General features: G+C 34.8%; 1 protein-coding gene across 13 annotated transcripts in view; it reads left to right on the forward strand.

The window, feature by feature from the left end:
* FUT8 (fucosyltransferase 8) overlaps positions 1-22,504 on the forward strand; it is a 387,280-nt gene that overhangs the window by 204,022 nt on the left and 160,754 nt on the right. For 12 of the 13 annotated variants that reach the window (NR_038167.1, XM_047431179.1, XM_047431177.1 and 9 more), the window contains one exon: positions 474-903. The exons of the other annotated variant lie outside the window; for it this stretch is intronic. Coding sequence is in view for 11 of the 12 variants with exons in the window: in XM_047431179.1 (XP_047287135.1) it covers positions 701-903 (203 nt within the window). In the remaining variant the exon portion in view is untranslated. The remainder of the gene's footprint in view (positions 1-473; positions 904-22,504) is intronic. 13 annotated transcript variants of the gene reach the window in all.

Consider the following 22,504-nt stretch of genomic DNA (forward strand, 5'->3'; position numbering starts at 1 on the left):
GTGGTATAATGGCAGCTGAACAATGAGGGAGGAGAGTGGAGTTGAGAACTGGTAGAAATGAAATCACTCATACAGGGAACATGTTTTTTCTTGAGATAATGAACATATAGCCCAAAATATGTGGTTGAGTACATTTTGTTTTTGATTGATTGTTCAAAGATATAATTTTTAAGTCTTCATATATAAGTTAATGTATAATTATGCAAGAAGGAAAAGAAAGTGATGATGGCACTTTGAGGACTTTCAGGCTTAGAGCTAATTAGTCTGTTATCTGGTAGAGCACTAATGTACATGGCTGATTTAATATACAGATTAACAGATTTAAAGCTTTTACCCTTTACTTGTTATTAGGCAGTTAGGTTATCTTCCAACTTGTTGGCCAGTCAACACCAATGTGTTTCCTCCAAGAATCTCAGTATATGCTATTTTATATACCTTAAATAATTTAAATACATTTCTTACTCTTTCCACAGCATGTAGAGCGCATGAAGTACAGGACAATAAAGCTTCCTACACATATCACCAGGAGGATCTCTTTGAAAGATTCACTGCAGGACTACCAGAGAGAATAATTTGTCTGAAGCATCATGTGTTGAAACAACAGAAGTCTATTCACCTGTGCACTAACTAGAAACAGAGTTACAATGTTTTCAATTCTTTGAGCTCCAGGACTCCAGGGAAGTGAGTTGAAAATCTGAAAATGCGGCCATGGACTGGTTCCTGGCGTTGGATTATGCTCATTCTTTTTGCCTGGGGGACCTTGCTGTTTTATATAGGTGGTCACTTGGTACGAGATAATGACCATCCTGATCACTCTAGCCGAGAACTGTCCAAGATTCTGGCAAAGCTTGAACGCTTAAAACAACAGAATGAAGACTTGAGGCGAATGGCCGAATCTCTCCGGTAGGTCCTAAAATACTGAATGAAGAATGATGAAATATTGTACTTTGTTTTTAGGTGTAGGGCTTCATTCCGCTAGGAAAAATAGTTAATTATTTTTATAACCTGCTGTCTTTGCCACAACTTAGCATGACAGTTTTCTATCTCTGTGTATTTAATACAGAACAAGCTTGTCCAACCCACAGCCCATGGGCCACAGGTGACCCAGAACAGCTTTGAATGGGGCCCAGCACAAATTTGTAAACTTTCTTAAAACATTCTGAGATTTTTTTATTTTTTTTTAAGCTCATCAGCTATCATTAGTGTTAGTGTACTTTATATGTGCCCCAAGACAATTTTTCTTCCAGTGTGGCCCAGGGAAACCCTGATATAATTTCTCCATAGTGGCATCATTATTTTGCATATGCATTTTAATGTAGAAAAACTATGCCATTTCATTTATATACTTACATTTCATTTACAGTTATGTATTTAAAAAAATTGATATATTAAATCCAAACTATGTTTTAAACTCATGTATATTAAAAATTTTATATGAACTGTAACAAAGATTATAATAACTGGGAGGCTGAGTTAGTCTAACTAGAACTTATTAAAATGCAGAAACAAAAGTTTATCATTAAACAACTGGATCTGGAATGCGGAGAATGATTATCATTGCTATTTCTAGTCTGTAAAAAATGTGACATATATCTATTAGAAGGCATCAACTGTTTGAAAACCAAAGTCTCCTATATATTTTCAGGGAGCAAGTAAACATAATATTACATAGGCGATCTCTGTATTTTTTTCCAAAGTTATTGAGGTAAAACATTACCTAGTATCTTATATGCGAAGATGATCATGTAGTACTCACTCTCTCAAACTAGAGAAGCTAGAAATGAAGATTTGAGAATCCTTACTCCAGAGGTGGTAATTGACCCTAAGGGAAGTGGTATAGAGAAAGAGCTGAAAGTTCATTTCTCTTTGAGAAACACATAAATTAAGGAGTAGAAAGTGGAAACATCCAATTGTACAGAAAGCCTTTAGAATAGTTGGGGAAGAATAGTGGGACAGAGCTGTTACGGAAACTGAGGAACATTCTGTGAAGGAAGAATGTAGTTGGCAGTGTTAAATTACCCTTGATGCTATAGAGAGGATGCCCATGGTGCTCTCATTTTCTACTCTCACTGCCCTTCACTCTTTGTTTAGAACTCGGATTTTTCCCTTTGTCTAGTTTCATAACTTTTTCTTCATAATATTATTTGGGTCCTTTTATGTCCTTTGAAAGACAATGCTACGTGTTAAGACAAAAATGAATGAAACATTATTCTTGTCATTTGTACCATTCAAGAAGATAGCAAGCAGTCAGGGATTAGAAAGTGGACAGAACTTCTTGAATTTGTCTATTATTTTCTTTCCTACTTGGGGTACTCAGGGAACATCATGGAGGAAGGTGATCTTTCAGTAGAGTCTTATTCATTCATTCTAAAGATTGATAATTTAGGGGTTAGTAATAATAGCTGTCATTTATTACATGCCAGGTACTGTGCCAAGGACTTTGCATGGATCATCTCACTGAATTTCACACTATCTTTATGAGATGTTAGTACCATTTTTGTAACCATTTTACAGATTAACAATTATAGAGATGTTAAGTAATTTAATTTGCTGAAGGTCACACTTTTCACAAGTGGTAGAGCCTACTTTGAATCCCAGTAGTATGACTCCACAACCTAAACTCTGAATAACTGTATTGCCTTCCTGAGCAGAAAACAGAGAAATCAGTGACCTAAACATCTTAGGTATGAGATCACCAAGAATAGCTACTATTCTAGTTGATTTTGGAGTTTGCTTTGATTGTAATCAAATCTCCTTCTATATCATGGGAATTTTGCTCCTAAAAAGATTTTTCCCCTTAACAATTTAGACTTATAAATAATTGCTCACTTTCCTTATGGTTCCATCTTCAATACTGATATTTCAATTTGTTTATTTCTGACTGCCAAATGTCTTGTTTTTGTTGCATGAAGGGAAAGCTTGCTTTAGTATGGGTTTTTCTTTCTGCAAAATAATCTTTAGGTCTATTAAGTCACTTTCTTTATATTCTTATATGTTGAAATTAATTTCTCAACTACATTTAAATGTAGAGACTACTTTCAAGAGCTGAATCACCTAAGTCATGTGGTAATACCATGTAATTACAGTCTGAAAACAGACTAAGCAAATAGGCCCATGTTTATATAAGGGAATATAATTTCAGGAAAATAGTTTATAGTTATTTTCCCTCAACCTCATTGGGCCCTTTCATTGACTTTACTGCTGGGGCCATTTGTATTTCTTCCAAAGGGATGTCGTTTTAGAGCCCTCTGGCATGAAAGGAAGAGCAATGGAGGTGCTACTAGCATTGGGATTTTTTTCCCCTTATAGTAATTAAGTTAATATTTTGTACTCAATTTGCTATGTCTTTTTCATATAAGAAAATGTGTTCACAAGTCAGACTACAAAAGATTAATTCAGATGTTTATAACTAGGTCGTTTCTTTGAGATAAGGCATATGGATTGGAGTTGGAAAGCAACACAAAAGCTTGAAACTACAATTTTTTAGATTTTCTAGATTCAAGTCAATAATCTGAAAAGCCATTAACAAATCTTTCGGCTAGAATTTTCTGATTTTGTTGATAGTTTTAGAAATTTAGGAAAATAATTTAAATATCGTATCTTGGAGGGATGCAAATGTAGAAGCACAATATATAGGAGGTTGCAGTGTATTTGTGTAAATCTGATCTATTGATGAGTAATGTCTGTACATAAAATTCACTTCCTTTATCGTAGATGTCTGTGAGTTTTGGCAAATACAGTCACGTAACCATCACAAAAACTATAGATGAATTCTACCTCCCTCTAGAATTCTGTTGTTCCCTCTTATGGTCAAATTCTGTCCTGACCTCCTGTCCCTGGCACTTAACTGATCTGATTTCTGTCACACTTTTTTCCTGTTTCAGAATGTCATATAAATTGAATTACATAGTATGTAGCCTTTTGAGTCTGTCTTTTTTCACTTACTATAATGTTTTTGAGTTTCATCAATACTATTGTCTGTATTAGTAGTTCATTCTTTTTTATTGCTGAGTAGTATTTTTATTCTTTTTAAATGTTGAGTAGTATTCCGTTATATTGATGTGTCTTAGCCCATTTAGCATTGCTATCACAGAATACCTGACACTGGATAGTTTATAGAGAAAGAAGTTATTTGGCTCATGATTCTGGTGGCCAGAAAGTCCAAGATTGAACAGCTGCATCTGGTGAGGGCCTGAGGCTGCTTCAATTCATGGTGGGAAGTGGAAGGAGAGTAAGCGTGTATAAAGAGATCACATGATAAGAGAGGAAGCAAGACAGAAACCGAGGAAGCCAGACTTTTTTAAACAACCTGCTCTTTTGGTAACTATTCCATTCCCATGAGAAGGAGAACTCAGTCATCTCTGAAGGAGGAGCATTAATTTATTCATGAGGGATCTAGCTCCATAACCCAAATACCTCCCACTAGGTCCCACCTGCCAATACTGCCATGTTGGGGATCAAATTTCAACGTGAGTTTTGATGAGGACAAACCACATCCAAATCATAGCAAGATATATCACTTTTTTTTTTTTAATCCATTCACCAATTGAAGAATGTGAGGTTATTTCCATTTTGGGGCAGTTGTGAACAAAGTCACTATTAACCTTTGTTTCATAAACTTTTGTATGACCATAGTTTTTATTTCTCTTGGGCAAATACCTAGGAGTGGAACTGCTGGGTCATATGTTAACTGCATATTTAACTTTATAAGAAGCAACCCAGTTCTTTTTCTAGAGTACCTGTACCGTTTTGAAATTCCTACCAGAAATTCTTGAGAGTTCTACTTGCTCTCCTCCTACCCAGCATTTGCTATTGTCAGTTATCTTTATTTTAGTCATTGTAACAGATATATAATACTATCTCATTGAGGTTTCAATTTATATTTCTGTAATGAATGATATTGGCCATTTTTTTAATGTGTTGATTTGCCATTCATATGTCATCTTTGGTGAAGTGTTTATTCATTTCACCAAAGAATCTGTTGTCTATTTTAAAAAATCAAACTGTTTTCTTTTAATAAGTTCTTTGAAAAAATTATTTTTAAAAAACATATAAACACAAAATTATATTTATTAGTAATATAAAATATGGTATAATATAATAAAAAACAAAAACATGGTGGCATAAAACAATCATTTATTTGCTCTTGATTTTTCCAATTTGGGTTAACTTCAGCTAGGCTTTTTTTCTAATTATAAATAGGGTCACTCATGTGGCTGCAGTCATCTGGTGGCTTGGTTATGGTTGGGCAGTCCAAGATGACCTCACTTACATATTTGGCAATTAGGTCGACCATTAACTGGCTCACTTCCATATTTCTTTTCTGGAAGGATAGCCCAGATTTCTTACATGGTAGTGTTCCAAGAGGAAAATAGCAGGAATTGCATGGCCTCTTGAGACTGAGCATCAGAAGTAACACAGTGTCAATTCTGCCACATTCTGTTCATTGCAAGTCAAGAGGCCTACCCATATTCAAAAATGGAAGAAATAGATACTGCATCTTGGTTGATGGAACTACAAAGAATGTGTAACCGCATTTAACCTACCGTTCTCACCACAGAAGGGAAGTTGAATAGATTGGATTAGGTCAAATCATGGTGGGCTTATATAGCCAGAGTTATGTATAGACCCGATTGATAGATAATAGAGAACAATAGTTGGTTTTCAGCAGAGGAATGACACAGTGAAAATGGTTGAGGAAGATTTAGATTTTCAGGTGGATTTGGTGCATGTGCCAGATTGGAGTTAAGATATTTCTTGGGAAACTCTTAAAGTATTAATCTAGATAAGAGGTAATGCAACTTACACTGAAATTAATGATTGAATCAGTTGACTTTGATGCTTAGGTTTTCAACATGCCTGTATTTAGAGTTTCCCAGACATCTCTTTCTTTCTTGTTCATTGGTATCATGTTAGAACACATGTAGTGGGCCTTTAAAAAATTTAGAAATTATCACTTTCTCAGTCCTTTTATGCTTCATGTTCGTTTTGTTTCAAGTTTAATAATGTGAAATAGCTATTTGCTCACAGAATTTTTGCTCCTTGGGACTTGAACCAGCCATGTTGCTTCCTAGAGTTGAAATTTACCAGAAAACACCCAGAAAATTGTTGGTTTGTGCAGAAATCCCCTTGAGCAGTGAACCTCAACCTGGTTGGATGTCAATCTCATGGAGTTGTAAAATCTAAAAAGTGCTTAATTGACAACTTTCCTTTTAACCTAATCCTTGTTATTCTAGGGACATTTATTTTTGAGAACAGAACTTAAAAAAATTCAAATGTGGCTTTTGGCCTTTTGGCCGATTAATAGTTTTTTTGTTTATTTGTTTGGTCTAGGAAAGGAGAAGAGATTTCTTCTAGAATTTAGATGCTAGCTGTAAAACTGTAAATTTAAAAACCACAAAGAATGTATGATTAATTTCCGATTACCTGTTTTTCTGAGCTGTGTGTCATCTGCCAATACGGGTTACAGACAAAGCACAAATCTTCTGGTGGAAAAATTTGTCCCAGGCAACAGAAGTATACTGAGTTGGGTAGAAAGGAAACTGAAGTGGTTCTTCACAGGTCATGTTTTACTGTTGTTTGAGAAGATTGTGTTAAAAAGTGGGTTGCCTTTGTTCTAGTTGGTTGGTTGGAAGATTTTGCTCTAGACCGTCTTCTCTATAACTCCTAGTCTCTCATATAAGAAGTGTACATATATTCTTAAAGCCAGTGAGATAGATTGGAATGTGTACAGCACCTGCCATCTAATTATAACCTTTCATGATATCTGCCTTTTGCTTTTTCAATCTTGTATCCATTATTCCTCATGTTATCAAGAATATCTTATTTTTAAGATATAATGAAAGATACTCCTTCCCTGAGAACATTACAGTGGGAACAACATTCCTATCCTGATAGGCCTGATTAAGCAGATATTCTCTCCCTGGAATTTCTTGTAACTTTTTAACATTTTACTGGATTAAATTTGCTAACATTTTGTTTTGGATTTTTTCTATATAAATGAGCTGTTTATTTATGATTTTTCCTTCTTGTGATGTCTTTCAGGTTATCAAGGTTTATGCAGGCCAATTCTGTTCTCTGGAAAAGTTTATGTAAAGTTGATATTCATTTTCTTTTAAATATTATAATTCTACCAGTGAAGTTATCTGGGCCTGGAGTCTTTTTGTGGGGAAGGGTGGTGGCGAGGAAGGAGAACATATGGGAAGATTTTAGATTCTGGATTTCATCTCTTTAATATAAATTGGACTGTTCAGCTCTTTTTTTTTCTCATGTCAATTTTGGTGAGACGTGTTTTTCAAAGCATGTGTTCATTTTATCAGCATGTTCAAATGTTCTAGCTTAAAATTGTTCTTAGTGCCATTTTATTTTCTTCTCCATACTTGTATATCTATAGTAATGTCTCCTTTTTCATTCTTAATATTGGTTGTGTTTTCTCCTTTTATCTTGCTAACAGTTTATCAATTTAATTTGCTTTTTCAAAGAACCAACCTCTGTGCTTTTTTTTTCTTTATTGTATATCTGTTTTCTATTTTATTTTCTTTTATGTCCTGGAAAGCCTTAAATTTCTCTCTAAGCACAGCTTTCAGTTGTATTCCATAAGTTTTGATATTCTATTTTTGTCATTAATTTAAAATACTTTAAAATTTGTATTGTGATTTTTTTTTTCTATGACCCATAGGTTATTTAGTAGTTGTTACTTAATTTCCAAATTGGGCTATTCTGTTTATCTTTCAGATTTTGATTTCTAGTTTGTTCTTCAACCAGATAGAATTATATTCTATATTTCAGTTCTTTGAAATTTATTTAATGGCTTAGCAAATGACTTATGTTGTTGAATGCTTAAGAAATGTGTATTCTGTTGCTGAGTCTGATCTAGTATATATGTCATTTAAGTTAGGTTGGTTAATTAAGTTATTCAGATTTATTAATTTTTATAAACACTCATATTCTTTTATAATTGGCCACATATTTTTTCTTTCTAGTGTTCTTTACTCCTTCCTGTTATTCAGTTCTTTCATGTTGAATCATGTTCTTCAGCCTTAATAATATCCTATAGTATTTATAGTGCAGGTTTGATAGCAATAAATTCAGATTCTCTTTTTTAAAAACTTTATCTTTCATTTTGTTAGATATTTCTATTGAGTGTAGAATTTACTTTAGCAGTAATTTTTAAAAGCATTTAAAACATGTCATTTCATTGATTCCTGCCTTTCATAGTCTCTGAGAAGTCTGCAATTTTAAGAAGCGTATCTTTCTCTTTGGCTGAGTTTACTTTTTTTTTTGTCTTTGGTGTTAAGCACTTGACTATGAGTGCCTAGATATGGCTTTATTTGTTTTTATTCAGCTTGAAGTTCACTGAGCTGCTTAAATCTGGGAGTTGATGTATTTTATCAATTTTGGAAAACCCTCAGCTACTATTTCTTCAAATACTGCTTCTGAAGCCATTATTTTTTATTTTTTTCCTTATGGAATTCCAATTATATGTATTATTAAACTTATTTTTATGGTATCTCACATGGCTTTATGTGTCTTTCATGATCTAATTTCTCTTTGCACTTTATTTTGTATTATTTTCTATTGAACTGGCTTCCAACTTATTTCACCTGTCTTCTGTTTTGTTCATTGTGCCGTTAATCACACACAGTTAGTAATTTTTTATATTTTTTGATTCTAGAATACTCACTTGATTCTTTTTGATAATTTCAAATTTCTTTGGAAATTCTCCATTTTTCATCTGTCTTGTCCATGTTTCTTTTAATTTCTTAAATAGTTATTCTAATATAACTATTATATTTTCTCCTAATTTCTATTTCATGGATCACCTTTTGGTTGATTTCTTTTGATATTTATTTTGATTGTTAGTCAAATTTTCTGCCTCTTTGCATGTCTAGTGATTTTAAATTTAATATATTGTGTATAAAGGCACTGTGGAGGCTACAGAGGCTTTTCTCTGTTGGAGATTGGGCTTAATATTTCAATCCAGTACAATCAGTGATTGAACATGGCTGTGTTTTAGTTTTAGTAAAACCTAGCCCACTTTGTTTCTTCCTTGTTCCTCAGGTATAATTCTTCTAGGCTTTTTATTGACAATTTGGTAGATTTCTCTTCAGATTTGAAGTATAGGACATTTCTTCTGCCCTTCAGAGGTTTTGAGCTTTGCTCTTTGGTCTCTTGCTCCATGTAGCATCTAAATTTGACATACATTGAAGAGAAGACTAGCTGTGAGTTTAAGGTAGACCTCAAGCAGGACTTCATCCTGTAAATTTCGTAAGACTATGAGAAATTTCATTCTGTCTTAAAATTACTGTCTAGCCTTGGAGCCATAGAATCCAGCAAATCAATCATGGAGAAAACTGGCTATGTGTTTACTGCTCTTGCAGTTTCCAAATTTTCACACCACTCTTCTGTGTGATCCCTACCCAGAATCAGCAAATGCTTCCCAAGTAAGAACATAGCTAGTTCAGCCTGCTCTGGAATTTTAGTTAATTTAATCCCTCACTTCCACAGCTCTCTAATGCCTTTAAAAGGATTATATTTGCAAGTTTTTTTTTTTCTGGGAGTGGTGGGGAGTGCTTATTGTCATTATTACAGTGAGAATGAGAATAGGGTTTGCCATGTTATACTGTATTCTACTTATAACTACATATACTCCTACATATACTCTACCTGTATTAAAAGTGGAGTTCATTTATCCCAGTGTTGCTGACATACACGATTTCCATTAGTTCCTGTGCCTAGATCTCTGGAGACTTCTTGGTTCTTGCTCTTTTAATGACCTGGTTCTTCAGGCTTTCCTTTGATTCCCTTTTAACCTTCTATTGTATACCTTAATTGTGTGGTAAAGGAAAGGAAGAGTTTAAGTGGATTCAAAGTTTGTCGTGTTAAAGTGAATTAAATATGGTCTGAGAAGGACTTTGTACTCTATATTTGAGTCCTAGTGGACGAACTGTAACCTAACTTAATAGGTAGACAAGATCGAAAACCTGACTTAGGAGTATGCGCCTGTAACAATAGCTGAGTCTTGCCCAATCCCAGCAGCCATATTTCAACCATTCACACACTGCTGAGCATTCAGACTGTGTTCAAATAAGGCAAATGCTGAGCTGTAACCAATCTAGTTGTTTCTGTACCTCACTTCTGATTTCTGTATATCACTCCCCCTTTTTTGTCTATAAATCTTCTTCCACCATGTGGCTGCACTGGAGTCTTTCTGAATCTGCTGTGATTCTGGGTGCTGCTGGATTCGTGAATCGTTCATTGCTCAATTAAACTCCTTTAAATTTAATTTGGCTGAAGTTTTTATTTTAACAGTAACTGTCAGTAATCTTTTTCAATGACTGATATAATGAACCTGTTAGGAGAAAGACCAGGATGGGATTTAGGTAGGTTGAACTTGATGTGCTTGCTGAACCTATCCAAAAGAAAGTTGGAAAGTGAGTCTAGAACTCAGGAAAAAAGCCCAGGTGAGAGAGAAATATGACTTTGGGAATCATGCACATAGCAGTGATTGCCAGAAAATGTGTGGCACAAAGTAAAAATTTCTCCATGCACTTCAGATGATCCATAGTTTCCCTAAACACTGTGGACTTGCAGAGAAGGAAGTGTGGGAACAGCATCAACATACTCTTACATACAGGGCCTGCAAGAATCTCACGTGGTAGGAAAATTCATTTTTCAACCACTACACCTGTTCTATGAATACAGCAATTGGTTATGTGTAGAGAAGCATAGCATCATATGTATTTTTACATACTATTGCCATTACTAGGTTTTATTAGGGACAGAACCTTGGTAGAATAAAAGCACATTTAGAATATAATGCTACTTTCATCATCATTTGTTATATTGTCTTAATATTCTTCACACCCAAGACTTGAATATATATATATATTTACATGGAAGTAAAGTTTACATGGAACAATGCCAAGGAAGGGGTTTTCAGGCAACAAAAGTATTATATCAGTTGTTCTATTTAGAACACTGTGTTATAGCATTGTTACCTGTTTTTTCTTGTGTACTGAAAAGTATAACCCCACTTAAACTCAATATATGAAAATCTAGGTTTACACAGAAGATAAAAGGTAAAATAGTCTTTATAAAATAGCAGACTCTTAGTGAATTTGGATTCAAGATTTAACAATCCACTTTGCCCATAGTCTTACAAGTTTTTTGTAAATCTAGGCCTACCAGTGTATAGGCACAGTGAATGGCTTATAATCCTATTCATAGGAGAGTTGCAGCTCATAATCATAATTTTATGACACTTTTCTCAAGGTCTCATGTGGCACCCTATCAACTAGATGTTGGATTGCAGTGGGAAACAATGCAAGAAGAGCTGTTAGCTTGTGCTTTTACTCTTAGCATCTCGATTGTCCTAACAGTAACATTAGCAGCAAGCAGGAACAGCAAGACAACAAAAACAACAGCTGTTAATATGTGTTACTATGTATCAGGTCACATTCTAAGCTTTGTGTATGTATGAACTCATTTAATCCCTATAGCAGCCCTGTGAGTAAGTACTCACATTATCCCCATTTTGTAGATGTAGACAGAGAAGTACAGTTAAATAGCTTGCTGAAATGTATACAACTGTGAGTGATGAATGTGGAGTTCATCTTGCTTCATATTCCACATTCTTAATCACGTTGGTATGGTGGCTCTAAAAGTCACTGCTTTTTCCACAGAAAATGTGCAACAATCCTTTTTTGCCTAACACCCTTTGCGTGTTTTGTATATGGGTCCAGTAGACTAGACCATAGACTATAATGTACATTCTCTTTCTACCAGATTCCTTTCTTCCCCATTTATCATTAAGCAGACTTAGCAAGGAAAATTATCAGCGATAAAGATGGGTCATTCTGTAGTGATAAAGGAGTAATGAGGACATAACAGTCCTTAACATGTATGCACATAACAACAAAGTGTGAAATACCTGAGGCAAAATATGTGAGACAGGAGAAATAGATAAATTCACTATTATAGCTAGAGACTTCAGCACCTCTCTTACAGTAATTGAAAGATTAAGCAGGCAGAAAATCAGTAAAGATATAGCTGATGTGAATAGCATTTTCTTCAATCAGCTTGACCTAATTGACATTTACAGAATACTGTTTTCAACAATAGCAGAATACACATTTACCATTGAAAACCTGTCTGTCCTGATGGACTCTGATATTTGGATTGGGGAGTTTCTTGTAAAAGGCTGTCTTGTCATAATGAATAGGGAAGTCTGTGTATTTGGAGTTGGCTCAGTGGGGAGGGATAGAGCTGTAGAAATTTATTCTTATTTATAGTATCAGCTAGAAGTCTATCATGTAGAGAAACATTTCTTTTCCCGTTCATTTCAAGCTTTGCCTGCTCCCCACCCACAACAAAGATGGTTCAGATGGTTCAGTAGAAACTGGTTATGTGGAATGTAAGGTAAGATCATGCTTTCTCATTAGGAGTCATAATCACTTTCCTCATTCATATTAATATATTCATATATAATACCAAAATCACCACCAAGAAAAGAAAATTAGAGTAAGGTAACTTTCAATATTTGGAAAATAATACATGTGCAAGACTTCTGGTGATAGCTATATGATTTTGAAGAGAAAGTAAAATTTTTTATAAATCAAAAAGTATAAACCATTAATATTACAAATAGGAGGGAAATTGCAAAGCTTAGCGAAAGGCACTGGATAGATTGTGGCATACAAAAGGGGGTCCACGTTGGATGCAGTGGCACAAGCCTGTAGTCCTAGCTGCTAGGAAAGCTGAGGCAAGAGGATCACTTGAGTCCAGGAGTTCCAGGCTATTGTACCCAATGATCGTGCCTGTGAATAGCCACTGTACTCCAGCCTGGGCAACACAGTGAGACCCCCATGTCTAAAAAAAAAAAAAAAATAGGGCGTCAGGTTTAGTGATTCATTCATTTATTCTTTTAATTATTTATTTTAGGTTCATTAGAACTATTAGAGAATAAAATGCATCTGATTGTTTATATCTTGTCTGTTAAATGGTATTTAGTTATCTTTTGCTGTTCAACAAATTACCAACCTAGTGCTGTAAAACAACACAAACTTACTATCACACAGTTTCTGTGGATTAGGAGTTCTTGCACAGTTTAGGTGGTGTCTCTGCTTTGGGGTCCCTCACAAAGGTACAAAAGGTGTTGACTGGGTCTGCAGTTTATTTCAAGGCTCAATTAAAGAAGGATACAGTTCTAAAATCATGTGGTTGTTGGCAGAATTCACTTCCTTGATATTGTTTGGACTAAGGGCCTCAGTTTCTTGCTGTCTGCCAGAGGCTGCCCTCAGTTCCTTTCCAAGTGGACCTCTCCAGAGGGCAGCTCACACCATAGCTTGCTTCATCAAAACCAGCAAGGAAGAGAATCTGCTAGCAAGATAAAGTTTCAGTCTTTTTAAACACAGTCATGGAAGATACATTCCATCATCTTTGCAATATTCTATTGATTAGAGCAAATCACAGGTCCCATTTACACTTGGGGAGGCGATTTTCCAAGGTCTTGACCACCAGAAGATAAAAATCAGTGGGGGCATCCTACAGTCAACCACCACAGCAGGGATCATGTGTTTTTAACATGTTTTATTGTGCTCGATAATAACATCAAAGTTTTCATTGTGTACCAACACTTTACATAAATTATCTTATTCAGAAGTTAAGTGATTTGCCTCACACCACATAGTAAGTGCTAAAACCAGCAAGAGCTCAAAGAGTCTGACTCTAGGTATTATAGAATAATATATTTTTAATTAAACATGAAAAGCTTTAAATGGTGCTTCTTGTCTGTTTTAAAATGTTCTAGAATTGAGGTGGGTAGCATTTTTACAGCAATAAGAATGCTAATCTGGTTATTAATTGTTACCACATGATTTCAGACTAAACATTTCAATCACAGTGAACTTCATTGTTTGTGGCGCAATGTCTTGCTTCCCTTGGTTCCTAGTACAAAGATTAAAGGGGCAAATAATGAGCAGATTCTGTGAAACATATCCTCTGAGGAGGAACCATAAGCATGGCTTGAAGGCAGGGTTGCTGAACAGATACTTCATTTATTTCGTTGATGTTGCAGGATTAATATTGTATACTCTTTTTGTGGATGATGGCTTTGGTTACTGGATTCCAAAGGCCAGTATTCTTTTCTATGAAATGTTTTCTAATTCGTATAAAGCGAATTCTTTTTCCTCTTCATTCCTGTATTTTATTTTATTTTATTATTTTATTTATTAATTTATTTTATTTTATTTCTTATAATAGTCTAGGAGTGCCTCTGGACGGCTGTGTCCAAGGGTATAAATTTGCAAGTAGTAAAGAAATTTACCATTACTTAAAAATCATTTACCTTCGTTGTGAAGTTCCTTTCCTCTCTCTCCCTCCTTTCTTCCTTCCTTTTCTTTCTCTCTTCTTCCAATTTAGAGTGATTACATATGGCAAGACTTTAAATTATTGTACTCAGGGATTATTTTGAACTTGCCTTTAATTTCATTTATGTGTGACTTTTTCCTGTAATTATATGTATACAGTACATATGTAATCTTTCATACATGGGCATTAATTTCATAGCTGTGAGTACAGAAAATCCCATTTTGATAGGATATCCAAATAGGATACTTTTTGGATAGTCTGACCTTTTGCTCATTTAATGACAAGTTGGTTACCTCTGTTCACTTAGAACCAACCTCCCTTCCTCCCTCCCTTCTTTCCTTCCTTCCTTCTTCCTTCCTTCCTTCCTTCCTTCCTTCCTTCCTTCCTTCCTCTTTTTTTTTTTCCCCCACACTCTTGCTCTGTCCCCCAGACTGGAGTGCAGCGGCACATTCTCTGCTTACTGCAACCTCCACCTCCCGGGTTCAAGCAAATCTCCCACCTCGGCCTCCCGAGTAGCTGGAATTACAGGTGCGCGTTGCTGTGGCCTGGCTAATTTTTGTATTTTTAGTAAAGACGGGTTTTTGCCATGTTGGCCAGGCTGATCTCGAACTCCTGGCTTCAATTGATCTGCCCGCCTTGGCCTCCCCAAGTGCTAAGATTACAAGTGTGAGCCAGAAGCAGATATTTTTGATGAATACTTTATAATTCAGTTTTCAAAATATAGATAAAAATACAAATGGAATTAGTCAACAGTTGGCCGCAAGTAAGTATAGCTTTTATATAAATAATCACAACTATTCAAATGTAAATTAAATTTGACTTTCTCCTCACTACAAATCCTTATAATAGCTCACTTGCTGTGAATAGTTGTCTGCTTTTTTTGGTTTGCTTAGCTTTAACAGGGGTTGACAAACTATGGCCGTGGGACAAGTCTACCTTTCTCTGTTTTTTGTTTGTTTGTTTGTTTCTTTTTCAATGGCTTCCAGGCTAAGAATGGTTTTACATTTTTAAATGGTTGGATCAAAAACAAATTCAAAGCAGAACATGTAAGAGGCCATTTGTAGCCACAAAACCTACATAGTTTACTCTCTGACCCTTTATAGAAAAAGTTGACTAACAAGGTTTGTGTGAACCAGGATGGTTTCATTATTTTCATTATTAAGTCTTGTCTTTTGTAGTCTCTGAATTGTTAGGCATGTTACATGTTGATATAGACATGCTCTGAAATAAAGGTCCAAATAGTAATATTATTCTTAGGCTCTTGTTTTACTGTACATCTTTTGTACTTGTTTCCGTTTTTGTTTTTTTTTCCCAAGACAGGGTCTTGCTCTGTCTCCAAGGCTGGAGTGTAGTGGTGCAATCATGGCTCACTGCAGCTTCGATCTGCTGGGCTCAAGCGATCCTCCTACTTCAGCCTCCCAAGTAGCTGGGAACACAGGTGTGTGCCATGATGCCCAGCTTGCTTTTTTTTTTTTTTTTTTTTTTTTTTTTTTTTTTTTTTTTTGAGACAGAGTCTAGCTTTTGTCGCCAGGATGGAGTGTAATGGCGCGATCTCAGCTCACTGCAACCTCCACCTCCCAGGTTCAAGCGATTCTCCTTCCTCTGCCTCCTGAGTAGCTGGGATTATAGGCACGCGTCGCCATGCCCAGCTAATTTTTGTACTTTTCATAGAGATGGGGTTTTTACCGTGTTATCTCCTGACCTCGTGATCTGCCCACCTAGGCCTCCCAAAGTGCTGGGATTACAGGCATGAGCCACCACGCCTGGCCTATGCCCAGCTAATTAAATTTTTTTTTTGTAGAGATGGGGTCTCCCTATGTTGCCCAGGGTGGTCTCGAACTCCTGGGCTCTAGCAGTCCTCCTGCCTCAGCCTTCCAAAGTGCTGGGATTACAGATATGAGCCATTGCGCCTGGTCTTACTATAAATCTTTATAAGCTTACATTTTACCTCTTATTTCTTCTTGCTTTTATTATATGTTCAGTTATTCTAATGTGTTTGTGTCTCTGCCTCCTAAGAGGCACCTTGTATTTAGTGCTGAAGTGGCTCTTAGGTGGAGGAGATCTGATCGGTTATGCTTAGAAAGGAACAATCTAGTGAAATGAAAGGCCTGGGCTTCTCAGATTTGGATTTGGATCCCAAGTCGACCACTTACTAACTTAGTGATCTTAAAAAAGTCGTGTAAGGGGGCTTTTTGATCTTCAGTTTCTTCACTTTAAAAATGGCAATAATATCTATTTTGCAATAAGTTTAAAATGAGATTAAAAAAATAGAAGATTTTTGTGTATTAGTAGGTCCTCAATAAACAGATTTTTAGCTGCTAATGGTAGCTGATAATCCAAAATGCATGATTTTACATAGTTTTATAGAACTCAGAATATGTTTTCATTTTTTCTAATGTAAAATAATTAACACAATGGATGAGATAATTTGGAAAACTTGCACATTCTTCAGAATGATTGCTCACCCTGAGATAAATCACTTAACCTCTTTGGGTCTAGGATCTACAATTGTAGGAAAAGTAGATTGGGGTAGGTGATCACATTCAATAAATGTATTTATTGAAACAGAATAGTTAAATATATACTAGGTTAAATAGAAGCATAGAATGGGCTTTATTTCTCATAATTCTTCTCTCATAACTGGACAATATGATTTTTAAAACTGATGCTTCTAAATATGGGAATTATAATTGCCCACCCTGAGCTTTATTTAGAATATAGAAATTTTAATTATTCATTATCACTACCCAGACCTCTAGGGAAGAACACACCATTCTTGGAGAAAGGTGTCACATGAAAAAACATCTTAAATAACTAAATTGTAAAAATTTAAACTTTGTATTTGAATTTTTTTCTCCCGTATATAAATGCTACATAGGCAAAGTAAATTTTCATTAAATATTTTATTTAATATAATGTATGAATAGTTGAGCTGAGGGACTTGATTAAACATTCTTTATATTTTATTCTTTTACCCGACTATACTGAGCTGATGATGACTTCAATAACTTCTTGATAATTGAAGATAAATAATAGCAGGAAATACAGTCATTGTGGCATATTGATTTCAGTATCACTTGATTTATAGATGACACATCTGCTACAAAGTCTTTAGAAAAAAATACCCTGGGCTATTTCTTACGTTTCTTTCAGGCAAATTTGTATTTCAGTATGAAGATTTATTTTGTTTTTGAAATTGTTATATTGACGTCTTTTAATTCATTTAGCTCAAGCTTGTCCAACTCGCATGTGGCCCAGGACAGCTTTGAATGCAGCCCAACACAAATTCGTAAACTTTCTTAAAACGTTATGAGATTTTGTTGCGATTTGTTTTTTAAGCTTATCAGCTATTGTTAGTGTATTTTATGTGTGGCCCAAGACAATTCTTCTTCTTCTAATGTGGCCCAGGGAAGCCAAAAGATTGGACACCCCTGATTTAGATAACATAATGAAATAAAATGGTTGTTTAGTTTGGAGATCAGTATTCTAGGCAAAGCTGTCTGAAGGAGAACAAATATAAATAGATTTCAATATATGTATTAGAGCTAGCCTGTGAATTACAATGGCTACAAGGAAATATAATGTAAAATAGCACACTATGCTTTTCTTGTTATTGTTGCTTGTTCAAATAGAATGAATTTGATTTTAACATAGTCTTTCTGTTCTTTTTTAAAAAAATGTATGCAAAAGCTGTTGCTTGGCGGGGGTATTTTACATCAGAAATGCTTAAGAGATTGTAATAAGGTTGGTGAAAAACTGAGGTACATTTAATGAATATGGAATGCTATATCTGCAAATAAAGACAAAAGGGACTTTCAAAAGTGTAATTTAATGTTAATTCTCAGTTTTACTTAATAGCACTTCAGAAATATTATCTATTTTACCATTTGTTATGTGCAGAAGCTAAGAGACTTATTTTTCTGCAGGTCAGTGGCAGAAGAAGAAATAAAAATCTTCCAAAGAATTATGAAGTTGTATCTGATTTTCAGTGTACTGCCAACACTGTCCTCTTTTATACTTTTAAGTTTCCCTTCCTTTTAGAATTAATTCAGGACAGTATGGTTTATTAGCCTATAGATAATGACAGAATATCCAATTTTATATTACAGTTACTTTTGGCATTTGTTTTGTGTGATCAGAGATCCCCATGTAACAGTATTGAAAATGGCCACTTGAATCATTACATCTTTGTTATATGGATATATCTGTATAAGCATATAGAGACCTTGTTTAATATTTATTGAGATTAACCATAATGATAGGTTAGTGTCTTATAAATAAGTAGAAATGGCACATTAAACACAAGTTTGCTAGATTAGGTAATTGCTGTATTTCATGTGGGTCATGGGTCTCTGGGAAGAAACCACATACTGTAAGTTAAAATTAAGTCCCCAGTTTATTTGATCAGTAATACAAAAGCTTATTGGACATGGTAATGCCATATGGAGTAGAAATAGATATAGTATATCTAAAAATAGCTTCCTGTGGTCCTTTAGAGTCCCCAGTGGGGTCATAAACTGCCTGTGCAGTTGTCCACACAAGGTAACATCTTGCCAGATCTAAGCTGATTTCTTGCTATGCCGTAATCCTTTTATACCTGGAGCTGATGTCACCTTTCTACAAGAATATGCACAATTTATGCACTTCCATTTAAAGGAATGTGTACAAGCTTCTAGGATCTATTAGTTCTTAAACCAAACCTGTGTCAGTAATACCCTATTCTGATCCTTGAGAAGAAAGCAAAAGTCATTTCAAGGTATCTCAATAATAAATACACCTTTGGCTTCCCTGCACTATGGGAAGTGCATCTCTTCAAAATACTGATAGTGCTATATTTTATATATATATATATATATAGTCATGCATTGCTTAAGGGCGGGATTACATTCTGAGAAATACGTCATTAGGTGATTTTTGTGGCTGTATGAACATCATAGAGTATACTTACATCATAGAGTGTAGTAGGCTAGTGTGTACTACATACCTAGGGTATATGATATAGGCTATTGCTCCTAGGCTACAAACTTGTACAGCATGTTGCTGTACTGAATACTGTAGGCAGTTGTAACATGATGGTTAAGTATTTGTGTAAACATATCTAAACATAGAAAAGGTACAGTAAAAATATAATCTTGTGGGCCTACTGTTATATATGCGGTCCATTGTTATGTGGTGCATGACTAAATATATATATATGTGTATATAATACTGTATATAATACATATATATGTATTTTCTATCTTGTAGAAAATACATGTTATGTGTGCGTGTATATAACACACTATGTATACACAGACACGCACATACAAACACACATGGAAGTTTGTTGAAAACCAGCAAGTTGGTTGATCACTCATTATTATTTGATTGTTTTTGATAGGTATTGGTAGCTTCCAATAACTAGAGGTCAGTGAAAAATATAGGCTTCCTCCCCCATAATTCTGCTAACATTTAATATGTTACAGTGAAGACAAGACTCAAAATGGGGAAGTTCATACTCTGTCTTTTTAGGTGTTCCTGCAATATCTTATATGAAAGATTATCTTGAGAAAGTTGTGACCTTATTCCAACAACAGGATTTGATCATCCTTCTGTTCAGGCATCAGATAATAATCTGAATCAGCCCCTAGACACAGTGTGGATTGGAATCTAAGCCTAGAGCATCATTCCAAAGAGTATTGGCTACTGGATTTACTAAATACTTACATATTGTTCTCAAAGTTGGTAGTGCTTCTGTAATATTTCTAGGTATTTCACATAAGTTAATTTTACCCAGCAAAATACTATTTCTAGAGTCCATTTAGCTTACAATAAACTTGCTGGTTTTTATAGGAAATAAAGCTTACTGAACAGCTTGATATTGCTGCTGCCTTTGGGATGTAGGTGTTTGATGATGTAATAGTTAATTAATCCTGAAGTGTTAATTCCCAGACCTACTGAGTCATAAACTCTGGTGATGAGGCTCAGTAGTCTGTATTTTAACAAGCTCTCAATGTGCATCTGATGCACACTAAAATTTGAGAACCACTGTCCTAAAGTACAATAACATTTTGATATTTAAATTACCGACAGAGAAAATTCATAACAGAATAAGAAGACTAACAATGAGTCATCTTTGGGATTTTATTATAACCAGTTAGTCTCAGGTACCTGGTATTTACCCGTGAAGTAAACATTTATTATATCTTGTGTCCTGTTAAGTATAGCACATAATGCATTATGATGGGACTGAGGTTCAGTTCAAAAACTATTCAGCACCTTCTATTTATTCATTTTAGGATACTGCTGCTTTTGTAAGACTTAACTCATTTATACAGCCAGAGCTTTTAGTCACAGCAAGAGCCTTGAAAGAAGAATGTAAATAGAATATTGCTATGCATGTTTGTGTCAAAGGATATAAACTGACACATGTAAATTTTAAATATAATTTACTTTATCCATTCCAGTCGTGTCCAGTTAAAACCTACTGGAATCTTTTTTTTTCATAGTTTATCCATGTATGATACGTGAGTTTGTATATTTTATTATTAATGGATGTCAACCATTTTTACCTTTTTTGTTCTACCCATAATTTTCTTCCTCGAATGATGCCACTATTGCCAAATTAGCAAGAAGATATTTATGACTTTTCTGTTTTCTAAGAGGACTTTTGCATATTCACATATAAATTGTGGTTTAAGAAAGATACACATTGACATTTTGACAGATTTTAATTTTCTTAGGCTTGGCAGGATACAACTACTTTGTCTGTTACATCTGGATGAGACCATTAGAATCTTGTTGCTATAACTGTAAGTCATGGTGTTGAATTTGCCTTTGCGGTATAGAAAATAGAGCAGTGTACTTGAATATACTCTGCAGCATAGAGACATAGCGTGAAAGGAGCATAAGTGTCACATGATGAGTTGAGCTAGCATTTTCTTCTTCCATCCAATTAAAATAATATATAAGGTCATGAATATCCAGTTATGGTTGTATATCCATATTCTATTTGTGATGAACACATGATTTCTTCCATTTTAAATTTATATATTTTTTTTCCTGGAAGTGTTATACTATTCTGAAATATTTTGATATAAGAATATATTTACTTCATTATTTTTAGACAAATTTATAATGTTGGCGTTTCGTGATCTCTGTTCACCTCATTAATGTTTACTCTTAATACTTTCTAATTTGCATCCTAAACTTAAGCCTTTATGCTGAACAACCCACTATGCTTCATGTCTGTGCCTTTACACATTTTACTATTTTACTGATTCAGCCCCATCCCCAGCTGTCCTAAGTATTTTTAGTAAGTGTTGGTGGTTCTTTAAAATTCAACCTAAGCGTGTCTTCTTCTGAGAATCCTTTCTTGACCTCATTCATCTGAATTAGGTGCCCTTTCTATATGTTCACCCAGCAGCCATGGCCTGCTCCTGTCATTGTACTCTCCACAGTTTGATAACTTTTAGTGCATTTGTCTTTTAGCTGAATCTTAAGTGAGTATTTTGATGGAATGGATTATATCTTATTCATCCTTGTATCATAGTGTTTAGAATCTGGCGTCTTTAATAAAGTGAATTAAATGCTCATTGAATGAATGAATGAATGAATGAGCCCAGTTGATTTGGGGAACATTGTACCTGATTAAAAAATCATTCTTTGTATTCTCAGGAGATAACGGTCATCTTAGACATGCTGATCTATGCCTGTTATATCTTTGATCCCACTTATTACTTAGTCCAGTACCTCTGGCATAGTGAATGCTGCATGAATGGATTGGAATTAAGGGCTGTATTTTATATAAATCATAAACATTTTCTTCTGTAGATTTAATTATTTTATAATTAAAACTTAACATCTTTAGATGCCATCTTTTTTTAGAAAAAGATTTTATTGATCTGCCTTTTACCACTTTGATCAAAGTACACCTTTTGGGTTTCATGGTTTTATTTCTTTTTCTTTTGTTTTTTTCTTTTTAGACAAGATCTCACTCTGTTACCCAGGCTGAGTGCAGTGGTGTAATCACTAGCATGCTCACTGCAGCCTCAACCACCTGGGCTCAAGTGATCCTCTTGGTTCAGCCTCCCAAGCCAGCTGAGACCACAGGCACATGCCATCAGGCCTGGCAAATTTTTGGGTTTCATTACAT

The sequence above is a fragment of the Homo sapiens genome, chromosome 14 (genome assembly GCF_000001405.40).
Source record: "Homo sapiens chromosome 14, GRCh38.p14 Primary Assembly".
Classification (NCBI taxonomy): domain Eukaryota; kingdom Metazoa; phylum Chordata; class Mammalia; order Primates; family Hominidae; genus Homo; species Homo sapiens.